Here is a 15,046-nt window from a genome sequence, read left to right on the forward strand (position 1 = left end):
CTTCATTTTCTCCTAATCAATAGGGTCTTTTAAAAGTTTCATTTTGTGTTTGATGCTGGTAGGTAAAAATACAATTATTTGTCATATGTTGGTTGTCTATCCAGGAACCTTTCTAACCTGACTTACTCTTTAATTTTTTAATTTTTATTTAAATAGAGACAGGGTCTCGCTATGTTGCCCAGGCTGGTCTCGAACTCATGGGCTCAAGCAATCCTCCCACCTCACCCTCCCAAAGTGCTAGGATTACAGATGTGAGCCCCTGAGTATGGCCTAACTTGACTTACTTAAGTCTAATTTTTACATAGGTTCTTTGGATTTTTTATAAACACATTCAAGTTGTCTGCAACAAAATCAGTTTAATTTTTTTCTGAGTCTTACTTCTTCTTTACTAGTGAGGACTGCCAGTAAAATAGTGAAAATAGTGAAAAATTGTGAACATAGTAAAATAGTGAATAGAAGTGGAGATAGCTAATTGCTTAACTCAGAGAGAAAGCTTTGGATAATTCACCATTAAGTATGATGTTTGCAGACATAGTATTGAAGAGTTGTAATCATGAATGGATAGTGAGTATGACCAGATTTCTCTGTATTTATTGAGGTAATCATGAGATTTTCTTTCTTATTCTGTTATTGTTGTTCATTATCAATGATGGTCACATATTAATCTTCTATTCCTCAGGTATATTTTGTTTGAGCTGTAGTTATTATTTTCGTGAATTGTTGGGTTCTAGTTGTTAATCTTTTTGTTCAAGGGTTTTGTATCTATGTTCATGAGTTAGATTATCTATGTGTTAATATTCTGTGCTCTATAACAAACTACTAAGCTTAGTTTAAAACCAGACATGGGGCTGGGTGTGGTGGCTCATGCCTGTAATCCCAGCACTTGGGGAGGCCGAGGTAGGAGAATCGCTTGAGTCCAGGAATTCAAGACCAGTTTGGGCAACACAGTGAGAATATCCCCCACCCCCACCCCCATTCCCCCCCACCCCACTCTCCACCCTCCGTCTACCAAAAAAAATAATAATAATAATTAGCCGGGCATGGTGGTGTATGACTGTAGTTCCAGCTACTCAGGAAGCCAAGGTGGAAGGATCACTTGAGCCCAGGACGTCATGCTTGCAGTGAGCTGTGATTGTGCCATTGCACTCCAGCCTGGGTGACAGAGACCCTGTCTCAAAAAGAACCCCAAAAGCCAGGAGTGGTGGCTTACACTTGCAATCCCAGCGTTTTGGGAGGCTGAGGCGGGTAGATCACTTGAGGCCAGGAGTTAGAGACCAGCCTGGCCAACATGGCGAAACCCTGTCTCTACTAAAAATACAAAAAGAATAGCTGGGCATGGTGGCACGGGCCTGTAATCCTAGCTACTCTGGAATCTGAGGCACGAGAATCCCTTGAACCTGGGAGGCGGAAATTGCAGTGAGTCAAGATCATGCCACTGCCCTCTAGCCTGGGCAATAGAACAAGACTGTCTCAAAACAAAACAAAACAAAACTCAAAAAGGAAAACCAGATATAGTTTAGCTGGGATCTCACATTGCATTTAGTTTTCATGTCCCTTTTAGGCTCCTTCAACCTGAAACGGTTCTATGTATTTCCTTGATTTTCATGAACTTGACTTTTGAAGATTACTGACCAATTATTGTGAAGAATATCCCTTAATTTCTATTCAGGAGCTACATCTATCCGGACTGAATCCCAGATCAGAAAAAAAAAATTGCCATAAAAGAACATTAGGGGAACTATGTTCTCTGATGTTTCCTCATTAGATTCACATTATGCATTTTTATGAAGAATATCACAGAAGTGAAGCTATATTCTTATTGCATTGTATTAAATGTTATACAATTTTGATTTGTCCCAGCACTGGTTATGTGAACTGTGATTAACTGTGATAACTTGAATGAGGTAGGGTCTCCCAGGTTTCTCCAATGTAGTTTTTCCTTTTGTAATCATCAGGAAGCATTTTGCAGGGAGGACTTTGAGACTGTGTAAATGGTCTGTTCCTCATCAAACTTTCATACATTAGTTTTAGTAATTGATGTTTCTTGGCTGGATTTTTGCTATGGTGATTGCCAAGTGGTGATTTTCTAATATCATTATTCTGACTACATTCATCTGTTGGTACTCGACTATAAAGAGAAGTTTCTCCATTTCTTTTTTTTTTTTTTGTGACAGGGTCTCACTGTCCCCCAGGTTGGAGTGCAGTGGCACAATCTCAGCTTCCTGCAACCTCCACTTCCCAGGCTTAAGCGATTCTCCAGCTTCAGCCTCCTGTGTAGCTGGGACTACAGGTGCACGCCACCAATGCCTGGATAATTTTTGTAATTTTTGTAGAGACAGGGTTTTGCCACGTTGCCCACGCTGGTCTTGAACTCCTGAGCTCGAAGCAATCCACCTTGGCCTCCCAAAGTGTTGGGATTACAGGCGTGAGCCACCGCACCTGGCTGTCTCCATTTATTCTTTTATTTTAATCAGCATGGACTCACAAATTCCCGTTTTGTTCAATGGATTACATCTGATATTTTATTTATTTATTTTTAAATTATACTTTAAGTTCTGGGATACATGTGCAGAACGTGCAGGTTACATAGGTATATGTGTGCCATGGTGGTTTGCTGCACCCATGCTATCCTTCCTCTAGCTCCCCACTCCCTGACAGGCCCCGGTGTGTGATGTTCTCCTCCCTGTGTCCATGTGTTCTCATTGTTCAACTCCTGCTTATGAGTGAGAACATGTGGTATTTGGTTTTCTGTTCTTCTGTTTGCTGAGAATGATGGTTTCCAGCTTCATCCATGTCCCTGCAAAGGACATGAACTCATCCTTTATGGGTGCGCATCTGATATTTTCATGTTTTTTTGTGTGTGTGTTTTTTGAGACAGGGTCTCGCTTTGTTGCTCACTGGAGTGCAATGGCATGATCTCGGCTCACTGCAGCCTCAATTTCTTGGGATCAAGCAATCCTTCTGCCTCAGCCTCCTGAGTAGTTGGGACTACATCACATGCCACGAAGCCCAGCTATTTTTAAATTTTGTTGTAGAGACGGGGGTTTCACTATGTTGCCCCGGCTGGTCTTGAGCTCTTGGTCTCAAGCTCAACCACTTTGCCCTCTTAAAGTGCTGGGATTATAGGTGTGAGCCACCGCACCTGGCCATGATTTATTTTAGATGTTCAAATGGTCTCAAGATTAGCCTGCAGGAAGCCCTTCAAGATGTCTTCTGTATCCATTTGACATGTCCTTATTGTTCTTTGAGCACTTCCTTTGTTTGGCACAGCAAGATCTTCTAGAGTACCATTCCTGCCCCAATCCTGAAGTCAGGTGTTTCTCCGAGCCCTGGTTCCTTTTAGTGAAGAATGGTATTTAGAAACCAAGATCTGGGAGCTGGGTATACTCATGTTATTACAGCGTTGCTGCTTCCAGGTCCTCTATGCATACATACATCCACATCCATAGGTATATCTCTCTACATTTTTTTTTCAGTATTACTACCATACTGAATACATCTTGATATTTTGGGAACCATGAATTCATGCCAGTAATTCCAATTCCAAACCTACATTTCAGGATTTATTCTAGTTTCCTCCCTTTTACATATTTACAACCCCATCTCCAACAGAGAGGCACTTCCCATTGTCCTCAATGTATTTCCTTATTTGATCAACCCCTCTGCATATAACTAATCTCCTGTCGCTGCTGACATCAACCCCACTCCCCTCTTTACACAACACACAAGCACTATCCTCACCCTGCTTTGCTGACACCCCCCACCAGGTCACTGTTGCCTCCCAACATGAACACCTATGATTGGTCTGAAACCTAATGGATTTTAGACTAAATTATGAATGAATGAGGATGAAAGGGACCTGGGGCCTGGTCTTCCTGTTAGTGTGTGTGTGTTTTTGAGACAGCATCTTGCCATGTTGTTAGGCACATCCTGAACTCCCAGGCTCAAATTATCCTACTGCCTCAGCCTCCCAAGTAGCTGGGATTATAGGCGTAAGCCACCACTCCTGGCCCTAGTGGATTACTTTGTAAAAATCCTCTCCTTCCCCTCCAACTTTTTTATTTCCTTCTAATGGCCAAGAAGTGTATTGTTTCTATATTCTATTTATTTCCTTTAAATATTAAAAAAAAAATAAAAGTAACCTGTTACCTTAATCTATTTGGGTCTAAGGTTTGAATAGCAAAGAATACTGTTTTATCCCAACCTATTTGGTTTCTAAACTCTGGATGCCACGAGTCTGTGTGAAAATGTACGTTAATCTATGTAGTTCCTGAGCTCACATAGTGAAAGTGAAGATAGCAAGGGTTACCCGTATTTAGAATTACCTTTCAATGTCAAAAATAACCATAATTTTTCCCAAATAGAAACGAAACCTTTAATGTGCTTTTACTATCTTCCCCTGAATCACTTTCAATATTTTAAAAAATCTCATTCTAGTTTACATTTTTCAAAAAACATTTGTGACCAGATGCAGTGGCTAGCACTGGTAATCCCAGCACTTTGTGAGGCTGAGGCACTGAGGATTGCTTGAAGTCAGTTCAAGACCAGCCTGGGTAACACAGTGAGACCTCATCTCTAAAATAACAAACAAACAAAAATAAATAAATTAAATAAAAGTAAAATAAATAAAACAAAAAAAATTTGTCAGTAAGCATTTAAATTTGTGTATTTCATACACCATTGTTTACTTCTGTGCCTCTTTTTACGTTGTGTCTTCTTAGATTCTTTTTCTTTGAAGATATCCTTAACATTTTCCAAGAAAAAGCATGGGAAGTAGACTTTCTGCGAGCGCCATCACCTGACTGGATTCAACTTTCTCCCTCTTTCCCCTAACAACATTGTTTTGCTGCCTCTTAGATACAGGAGATAAGAATTTTTTTTTTTTTTTTTTTTTTTTTTGAGACAGGGTCTCACTCCGTCACCCAGGGTGGAGTGCAGCGGCACAAACACGGCTTACTGCAAACTCTGCCTCCCAGGCTCAAGCAATCCTCCTACCTCAGCCTCCAGAGCAGCTGGGACTACAGGTGTGTGCCACCACGCCTCGCTAATTTTTTTTTTGGTAGAGACAAGGTGTCACTATGTTGCCCAGGCTGGTCTCGAACTCCTGGGCTTAAGCGAACCTCCCACCTCAGCCTCCCAAAGTACTGGAATTACAGGTGTGAGCCACCACGCCTGGCCTACCATGTGAGAATTTTGATGTCAATCTGTTCCCTGTAAACTTTTTCTTTCTTTACTTGCAGAATCACAAAACGTGGCATTTAGTGGGTTATTTCCTTCCTTCTAGCGTTTTTATTCTAGAACCTTTATTAAACAGTTATTGTGGCCGGTCATGGTGGCTCACACCTGCAATCTCAACACTTTGGGAGGCCAAGGTGGGTATATTGCTTGAGCCCAGGAGTTTGAGACCAGCCTGGGCAACAAAATGAAACCCCATCACTACAGAAAAATAGAAAAATATCAGCTGGGTGTGGTGGTGCGCGCCTGTGGTCCCAGCTATTTGGGAGGCTCAAGCTTGAGCCTGGGAAGCGGAGATTGCAGTGAGCCAAGATCACACCACGGCACTCCAGCCTGGGCGAGAGTGAGACCCTGTCTCAAAACAAAACAAAAACCCCCAAAACACAAAAAGCTATGGTATCTCATTTATTAATCCAGAAAACGTGTATTTACTTTGTGCCAGTCATCATGCTAGGGGTATAATACTGAAAAAAATACTAGTATTCACTCTCATATAGCTTACAAACTACTGACAACTTATTGACAACTTGGATTATTCTCTGTACTTCCAACTCTTCCCACGTTTTCCATCATTTTGAATTTTTTTTTTTTTTTAACTTTTTTGTTGAGATGAGGTCTCAATATGTTGCCCAGGCTGATCTGGAACTCCTGGTCTCAAGCGATCCTCCAGCCTCAGTCCCCCTAAATGGTGGGGTTACAGGCATGAGCCAACACGCCTGGCCTCATTAGTCTTCTTACATATGCATTTGTATGTAGTTGAACACTTGTATGATTACTTTAGTTTTACATTTGGTGCTTGTGGCCACTTTTTATTAATACCTTGTACCATCCTGCCCCAACCTTCAGCCTTTTCCCCTAGTCTCACTCTTAAAGAGTAACCTAAAAGTGCCTTCAAATGTTGAGATGGGTTAGACTTACACACTCTGATGCACAATACACACATCTACAAAGATCTTAAGCGTGTGGTCATACTTTGAGTACTAATGGAAGAAGCTACAAGATAAATTCCTTCATAGAAAAAAAAAATCACTCTCAGAACGTTTTCTATTTCCCATCATGTCCTTCTGTCTTCATTGGAATTCCTGAATTAAAAAGGTAGCAAGGAGGGACCCAATACTTGAGACCTCCACGTGCCCAATATTTAACTCATTCTGCTTTCACAAGACCACCATGAAGTATTGTCAGAAATGGTTGCTCAGTAAGCCAGTCACTCATGGAATAAGTGGCAGGGTAAGAATGACAGTCCAAGTCTATTTAGATCCATTTTGCATTGCAGTGTATTATAATGTAGTAGCTACAGAATTGAAAGACCCTTAATATCAGTACTTCATTCTTTTTTAACTGTTAAACAATATTCCACTGGATGGATATATAAATATCCAATGTATATATGGAGAAATATCTATTCAGATCCTCAGGCCATTTTAAAATTAGGTTGTCTTTTTTTTTTTTTTTTTTTTGAGATGGAGTCTGCAATTCTCCTGCCTCAGCCTCCCAAGTAGCTGGGACTACAGGCATGAGCCATCACGCCCAGCTAATTTTTGTGTTTTTATTAGAGATGGGGTTTCGCCATGTTGTCCAGGCTGGTCTCAGATCCACCCACCTCTGCCTCCCAAAGTGCTGGGATTACAGGCACGAGCCACTGCGCCTGGCCTCTTATTTCAATTTTATTGATTGATATGTCTATCATGGTATCATACACTGTCTTGATTATTGTAGTTCTTTACGGGAAGGAGTATTTTAATAGCCTTTTAGATAACTGCGGATATTCTTGAGGATGAGGACACGAAAATTGGATGAGAAGTAGTTTCCTAAAGGTTAACTGTAATGTAGACTCTGAAACCTCGTAAACAAACCTTTTCTACTATGTTAGATCTTTCACTCATGCATTATTTTGTAATACTATGCATTGGTCATTCCGAAAATACTGGTTTAGTTATGCAGATCTTCGAAACACTGACACATCTCATTATACACTATCTAAATAAAATCATTTTTGGCCTGGTGCGGTGGCTCATGCCTGTAATCCCAGCGCTTTGGGAGGCCGAGGCGGGTGGATCACCTGAGGTCAGGAGTTCATGACCAGCCTGGCCAACATGGTGAAACCCCGTCTCTACTAAAAGCACAAAAATTAGCCGGGCGTGGTGGCTCATGCCTGTACTCCTAGCTACTTGGGAGGCTGAGGCAGGAGAATCACTTGAACCTGGGAGGCGGGGTTTGCAGTGAGTGGAGATCACGCCACTGCACTCCAGCCTGGGCAACAAGAGCAAAACTCCGTCTCAAAAAAAACCAAAAACCAAAAAACAAGTTTTAATATCAACACTACTGATTTCATTAGGAAAGTATTAGGAAGCTGTAGTGCTACTGGTGTTAAAGTCAAGTTTTCCAAAATTCCAATTTTCACTTGATTCATGGTAAGGTTCTGGCAGTTTTACCCATCACTGCTTTTACTCCATCAATAAAACTCTCAATACAGCGAAAAAGGCGAATAATATCTTAGTATTATAAGTTTTGACCTTATGTTATGTACACCTTGAAATTGTCCTGGGGAGACTCTCAGGGGTCTGTGACCCACCATGAGCACCACTGACCTAATTAATAATAGACCTAGGCAATGACTATCAAAAAGACAACCAGGCATGTGTTTCCTAACAGAATTATATACCCCCACCAATGAAGCATTCTTACCAAAAATTCAATACTGAATCTGATCAAGCCTTTAGACCTAACTAACCACTAGTTTATGACATATGCAGGAAACAATCAGCAAAATCTCAAATGTAGTAAACTTTTCAGGACAAGTAAGTTGGTTCTTTAAAACATAAGCAGGGGGCAAAGATGAGACAGAGAACCTACATACTAAGAGACTTTAAAAACAAGCAATTGTTGGCTGGGTTCAATGGCTCACGCCTATAATCCCAGCACTTTGGGAGGTGAAGGCGGAAGCAGGTGGATCACTTGAGGTCAGGAGTTCGAGACCAGCCTGGCCAACATGGTGAAACACCGTCCCTACTAAAAATACAAAAATTAGCCTGGTGTGGCAGCATGTGCCTGTAGACCCAGCTACTTCGGAGGCTGAGGCAGGAGAATCATTTGAACCTGGAAGCGAAGGTTATCACTCCACTGTACTTCAGCCTGGGCAACAGAGCAAGACTCTGCCTCCAATAAAAACAAAACAAAACTAGCAAGGAACTGCAATGTATGGACCTTCTGTGTCCTAATTAAATTACTTAAAACAAATTTTTTTTAGAGCAATGATTACATATTTGACAATATTTTTGGTTAAACTTTCAGGTGTAATAATGTTATAGTTCTTAATCTTTAAGAAACATATACTGACATAATTAAAATGAAAGAAAAATTCTGTAATGCAGGATTACACAGAAATTCCAAGGGAAATACAAGGAGAGAGCCTAATGTTGGTTTGGACAGCACAAGAAGAAAGTGCTCTGTTCACTGGTGCTATTTACTGTTAGCCTGAAGTGTGTGGCTTTTCTGAAGAATAACCACATCCTCTCCCATCTTCATGCCCACCAATGTGGAATCATGGGCCCCAGGAATGGAAATCTGCTTTAAGGAGTTTCCAAAGAAGTTAGAAAATCATATTCTAGAGAGGACCAGAGCCTTAGCCTGGAATTTTCCTAAGAAAAAGCTCACAGATCATTTGGGACCTTTAAATACAGATGCCTTGTTGAAACCCAGCTAGGAAGCAATAAGATCAGATATGGTAAATAAGGAGAAATTCAAAAATCCCTGTTGTGTAGACACATCATTTTCTGTAAATAATTACTTGATCTTTCTTTCAAGTGGTAAATAGCCATTTATTGAGTATTCTTGCTTTGATTGTCTACGTAAGCATGTAAGACTACAACATTACGACCCATCTCTTCAAGAGGAAGTCTGGTATTATGGAAAAACATTTTGTCATTCAGATTTTTTTTTCTTACAGTATGCCCATCACAAACCAGGCAGCAAGCAAGGTATTGGGTGCTACTCAATCCAGTGAAGTCTTGAGGGTCCCTTCCCTCTGTGAAGCATATAATCTAGTGGGGTAGACTGCTAGCTACTAACTATGAAAACAACATAGTCTGACTTGAGAGTGGGGAAAGTGGAACAAGGGAGTAATTTTTATATTTTTCTTCACATTTAAAAATATTTTCTAAACAATCCAATATAATCTTTTCTATAATTTCCAATACAATCAACATGTATTACTTGTAAAATAATAGCATACATATATCGACAGACTGAAGAAGGTATACTATTAGAGAACATTTGCAGAAAAGAATTCCACATCTTTTTTTTGAGACAGAGTTCTGCTGTCACCCAGGCTGGAGTGCAGTGGCAGCAATCTAGGCTCACTGCAACCTCCACCTCTTGGGTTCAAGCAATTCTCCTGCCTCAGCCTCCTGAGTAGCTGGGCCTACAGGCACGCGCCACCACACCCAGATAATTTTTGTATTTTTAGTAGAGACGGGGTTTCACCATGTTGGCCAGGCTGGTCTTGAACTCCTGACCTCAGATGATCCACCCACCTTGGCCTCCCAAAGTGATGGAATTACAGGCGTGAGCCACTGCACCTGGCCGAGAATTCCACATTTTAAGAATATGGTAAAAGAGTTTTATTCTCTTCAGTAAGATGAGGTTGAGAATAAAAAATTAAAAAGATTAAGCAAATGACACTTTCACATCATAGGGTAGTAATAATGAACTTTAATAATCTTAAAAAAATACTTATTGGGGATAAGAAATGTGGTTTACAAGTAAACTGTTACTTTCTAGACTTAACCCAAGAAGTTAATGGAGTAGGTGTGTTTCAGTAAAGTAACAGGAAATGGTACAGAAACCACCAATGGTCATCATGCTTGAGAGTCAATACAGCACATAATTCACAGCACAGATGAGGCTGGGTGCAGCAATTCATGCCTGCAATTCTACCACTTTGGGAAGCTCAGGCGAGAGGATCACTTGAGCCCAGGAATTTGAGACCAGCGTGGGCAACAAGGCTAGACCCCATCTCTACAAAATATATATTTAAAATTAGTTGGGTGTTACCCAGGCATGGTGGCTCACACCTATAATCCCAGTACTTTGGGTAGCCGGGGGAGGTGGATCACTTGAGGTCAGGAGTTTGAGATCAGCCTGGCCAACAAGGTGAAACCTTGTCTCTACGAAAAATACAAAAATCAGCCAGGCATTATGGTGGGTACCTGTAATCTCAGCTACTTTGGAGGCTGAAGCACGAGAATTGCTTGATCTTGGGAGGCAGAGGTTGCAGTGAGCCAAGATTGTGCCACTGTACTCCGGCCTGGGCAACAGAGTGAGACTTCAACTCAAAAAAACAAAAATAAATAAAAATGAAAAATAAAAAAATATATATATAAAATTAGGTACGTGTGGTGGTGCATGCCTGTGGTTCCACCTAATCAAGAGGCAGTGGCAGGAGGATTGCTTGAGCCCAGGAGTTTACGGCTGCAGTGAGCTATGATCACGCTACTACACTCCAGCCTGGGCAACAGAGCAAGAGGTTGTCTTTTTTTTTTTTTTCTTTCTGAGACAGGATCTCACTCTGTTGCCCAGGTTGGAAAGCAGTGGCATGATCTCAGCTCACTGCTGCCTCAGTCTCCCAGGCTCAAGTGATCCTCCCACCTCAGTCTCCCAAGTAGCTGGAACTACAGGTGCACACCATCACATCCAGTTATTTTTTTTTTTTTGACGGAGTCTCGCACTGTTGCCCAGGCTGGAGCGCAATGGCACGATCTCAGCTCACTGCAACCTCCACCTCCCAGGTTCAAGCAATTCTCCTGCCTCAGACTCCTGAGTAGCTGGGATTACAGGCACTCACCGCCATGCCCAGCTAATTTTTTGTATTTTTAGTAGAGACGGGGTTTCACTATGTTGGTCAGGCTGGTCTCGAACTCCTGACCTTGTGATCCGCCCACCTTGGCCTCCCAAAGTGCTGGGATTACAGGCATGAGCCACTGCACCTGGCCTAATTTTTGTATTTTTTTTTTTAGCAGAGATAGGATTTTGCCATGTTGCCCAGGCTGGTCTCAAACTCCTGAGCCCAAGTGATCCACCTGCCTTGGCCTCCCGAAGTGCTGGGATTACAGGCATGAGCCACCATGCCCCACCAAGACAAACAAAACAAAACAAAACAAAACAAAACAAAACAAAAACAGTATAGATGAAAGGCAGCCAGCCTGGGTTCAAATCCTACCGTTGCTACTTATTATTAAATAAACGTAAGAATCTTATGGACGTTACTTTACCTCTCTAGCACCTTGACTTTCAAATCTGCAAAACAGGATAATAACACCTATTTCTTTATAACATTGTTATAAGGATTAAGTAGGTTAATATATGTGAAATACTTAGAGTAATGTCTGGTACACAGTAGGCACTAAATAAGTGTTAGCAGCCAGGTGCGGTGGCTCACAAGGTCAGGAGTTTGTGACCACACTGGCCAACATAGTGAAACCCTGTCTCTACTAAAAATATAAAAATTAGCTGGGCATGGTGGCGTGTGCCTGTAGTCCCAGCTACTCGGGAGGCTGAGGCAGGAGAATCACTTAAACCCGGAAGGCGGCGGTTGTGGTGAGCTGAGATCGCACCACTGCACTCCAGCCCAAGCAACAGAGCGAGACTCCGTCTCAAAAAAAAAAAAAAAAAAAAAAGTATAGCTACTATTATAATCCTGTGAAAATAATCAATATAAAATTAAAAATCAACAGACAGCCCATATTGCCCTTTTTTGGCCTAACAAAAAACAGATTTCTAAGAAGACAGTAAGAAATCAGTATTAATTTAAACATTGTACAGGACAGGAGATCAAAAGCACAGGTATACAAATGGTTCATTTAAAAAAACTGATACTCAAATTGACACCCTGAAAATGTCAGATAATTTTTCAGAATGATTAAACTCACTAAACATCTGTAAACAATAAATTTATTTCATTTCTTTTAAAGATTTAATGATATACAAAACGTATATAGTATCTTTAAGTAATACACTTTTTCTTTCTCCCCACCCCCAATCAATATTAAACACTATTTAAACAGCTTATCATCTCTTGCCTTGTCTGTATCTATGAGATACACTACTAAATACAAATAAGCTTTATACTGCTCCCTTCCAAATAAAAATTAAAATTAGTACCAAGGAAACAAAAGAAAAAGAAAAAAAAAGAAAAAAAATTAAAGCATAAAACTTAGATGAAAAGCTTTTCTTGTTATTGTTGAATATTCAACAATATCTGGGGCTGTTAAATTACATTTTATTGGCATAAGGTTGCACTGCAATCTGCCAGTATCACATAATGATAATCCAACTGAATTAATTTCTTAAGTACCACAAACAGCATTCATGTTCAAATGTTCCAACACAATTTTAAATATATGCAAGAGTTCATGTTTACATTCTGATTTGATATAACAATCAATAAAATCTTTGGAGAAGTTTGTAAGTTCTGGGTTGTTGCTATAGATACAGATAGGGAAAAAAGTACTTTAACTTTCCTCAAAAGGTAACTTCCCTTGACGAGTGAGTTAGGTTTCTGCTTTTATAATTTAGGTTATGTATCAGTTTACCATGGCTTTCTTCTACTTAACAGTGACTTGATAAAACAATGTTTAAAAAACCCAATTAACATTTTTACACAATTTGGGTTCTATTTAAAAAAAAAAACTGGCTCTATCTTTAAATATGGAGCCTAACCCTGATTCATAAATACCGTCCCTCTTGAAAATGGTCTTCAGTTCAGGCTTCTCATACCTCTGTGAACCTAGAATTAGAACAAGTCATTTCCCTTCCCGTGGCCAACAAGCATCTAGTTGGGAACCAGTGATATCATCACTGAACACACTAAATACACTGAGGAAAATTTTGACTGCCATTTAACCAAAAGGCTGCGTGATTTCTTCATTTCCCTAGTTGAATGGCAATAAAACAGCTGCCAATAAAATCTGCATGGACACCTACCTTTGGTTAATGGTATTGTACCACATAAGAGAGAGCATCACCCTCATCAAAACAAAGTCAAATGAGATCCTCTGCTATACAAAGAGCCCTTTAAAAAGTTATAAATACTAATTATCAATTACCTTTAAAATTTCTCAGCTGCCAGCTCTATCCTATAGGGACTTTCTGACTGATTAATCAGGTCAAAAGAATATTGACCTTTTAACTGTGCTGGAGTCAGCAAATTCAACTTGCATACACCTTTCTATATTACCAAACAATTTCCTCCCGAGGGAAAAGTGACACAGTAACATTTCTGTGAGGTGCAGGCAAAACCAATGATTCAGTAATATTAATATTATAACATCAGACGAACAGAATTAGTTGATTCTGATTCTTTGGTGGAATTTCCAGGCTGAAGATTCAAATCTGAAGGCTCATCCTGAGGAAATATAATTTTATCAGGCGTATAATCATTCCTCTTCAGATCTACATTGAACACCCACAACAATTAAAAAAAAAAAAGAAAGAGAAAAGAAAAAAGTTAGTATTTCTTAGAAATGGAGAATTAGGAACCTTTTATTTTCTTTTCAAGACGGAGTTTCGCTCTTGTTGCCCAAGCTGGAGTGCAATGGCGCGATCTCGGTTCACTGCAACCTCCACCTCCCGGGTTCAAGCGATTCTCCTACCTCAGCCTCCCAAATAGCTGGGATTACAGGCATGCACCACCATGCCCGGCTAATTTTTTGTATTTTTAGTAGAGACAGGGTTTCACCATGTTGGTCAGGCTGGTCTTGAACTCCCGTCCTCAGGTGATCCACCTGCCTCGGCCTCCCAAAGTGCTGGGATTATAGGTGTGAGCCACCATGCCCGGCTGAATTAGGATCATTTCTAATCAATTTTTCTCCAAACATGTCAGACTTGTTTTCCATCAGGTTGTTATAAATTCAGTAGTCACCAAATTTATACACATAAAAATGAAGTCATTCATTCATTCAACAAATAATTACATATTGACCATGAGTCAGAAACTCATGTAGGCGTGGGAATGTAGCAGTGAACAAACCAGACAAGCTCACTGGTCTCAGTGAGCTTATATTCTAGTGGGTGACAAAAAATAAGCAAACAGAAAAATGACAGAATTATAAGCAGTAAAAAGTGCCTTGAAGGCAGGGTGCAGTGGCTCATGCCTGTAATCTCAGCACTTTGAAAGGCCAAGGTGAGAGAATCATTTGAGGTCAGGAGTTCAAGAGCAGCCTGGCCAACATGGTGAAGTCTCTTGTCTCTACAAAAAATACAAAAATTAGCCAGGTGTGGTGATGTGCGCCTGTAGTCCCAGCTACTCAGAAGGCCGAGGTGGGAGGACTGTTTGAGCCCCAGTAGGCAGAGATTGCAATGACCCAAGATCATGCCACTGTACTTCAACCTGGGCGACAGAGTGAGATCCTGTCTCAAAAAAAAAAAAAAAAGTGCTTTGAAGAGAAGAGTGTAGTGAATTATAATGAGGGACAGATGGAAGATGGTATAGGGTGATTGTTTCAAACAGGTCTGGGCAGGAAAGCCAGAGGAAGAGATTTGAGTAAATACCTTAATATTGAGAAGTGAACTATCAAAGCTCTAGGAGGAGTGTTCTAGGCAGAGGGAGGGTTAACTGCAAAGACTGTCAGAAGGAATGGACTTAGTGTGCTTTGCGAATGGTAAGAAGACAGTGTGGCTTCTACATAGTGAATGAGAGGAAAACTAGTAGAAATTGAGCTCAAGCAGCAGTTAATGGCCCAAGATTGTCAACTACAGATTGTGGGCCAAATCTGGTCTGTTGCCTGTTTTTGTAAGTAGTTTTACTGGAATG

General features: G+C 40.6%; 1 protein-coding gene across 5 annotated transcripts in view, besides 1 other annotated feature; it reads right to left on the bottom strand.

Moving 5' to 3' along the window:
- Positions 3,005–3,519: an enhancer, noted in NCBI's record as "OCT4-NANOG hESC enhancer chr15:50843324-50843838 (GRCh37/hg19 assembly coordinates)". NCBI's record gives its function as "activates a minimal SCP1, AML or CMV promoter by ChIP-STARR-seq in naive and primed H9 embryonic stem cells {active_cell/tissue: H9 hESC(naive and primed)}" and the evidence as "EXISTENCE:reporter gene assay evidence [ECO:0000049][PMID:30033119]".
- Positions 9,036–15,046, bottom strand: part of TRPM7 (transient receptor potential cation channel subfamily M member 7) — a 129,640-nt gene continuing 123,629 nt past the window's right edge. For all 5 annotated transcript variants that reach the window (NR_149154.2, NR_149152.2, NR_149153.2 and 2 more), the window contains one exon: positions 9,036–13,686. Coding sequence is in view for 2 of the 5 variants with exons in the window: in NM_001301212.2 (NP_001288141.1) it covers positions 13,556–13,686 (131 nt within the window). In the remaining 3 variants the exon portion in view is untranslated. The remainder of the gene's footprint in view (positions 13,687–15,046) is intronic.

Source organism: Homo sapiens, chromosome 15, assembly GCF_000001405.40.
Source record: "Homo sapiens chromosome 15, GRCh38.p14 Primary Assembly".
Lineage (NCBI taxonomy): Eukaryota > Metazoa > Chordata > Mammalia > Primates > Hominidae > Homo > Homo sapiens.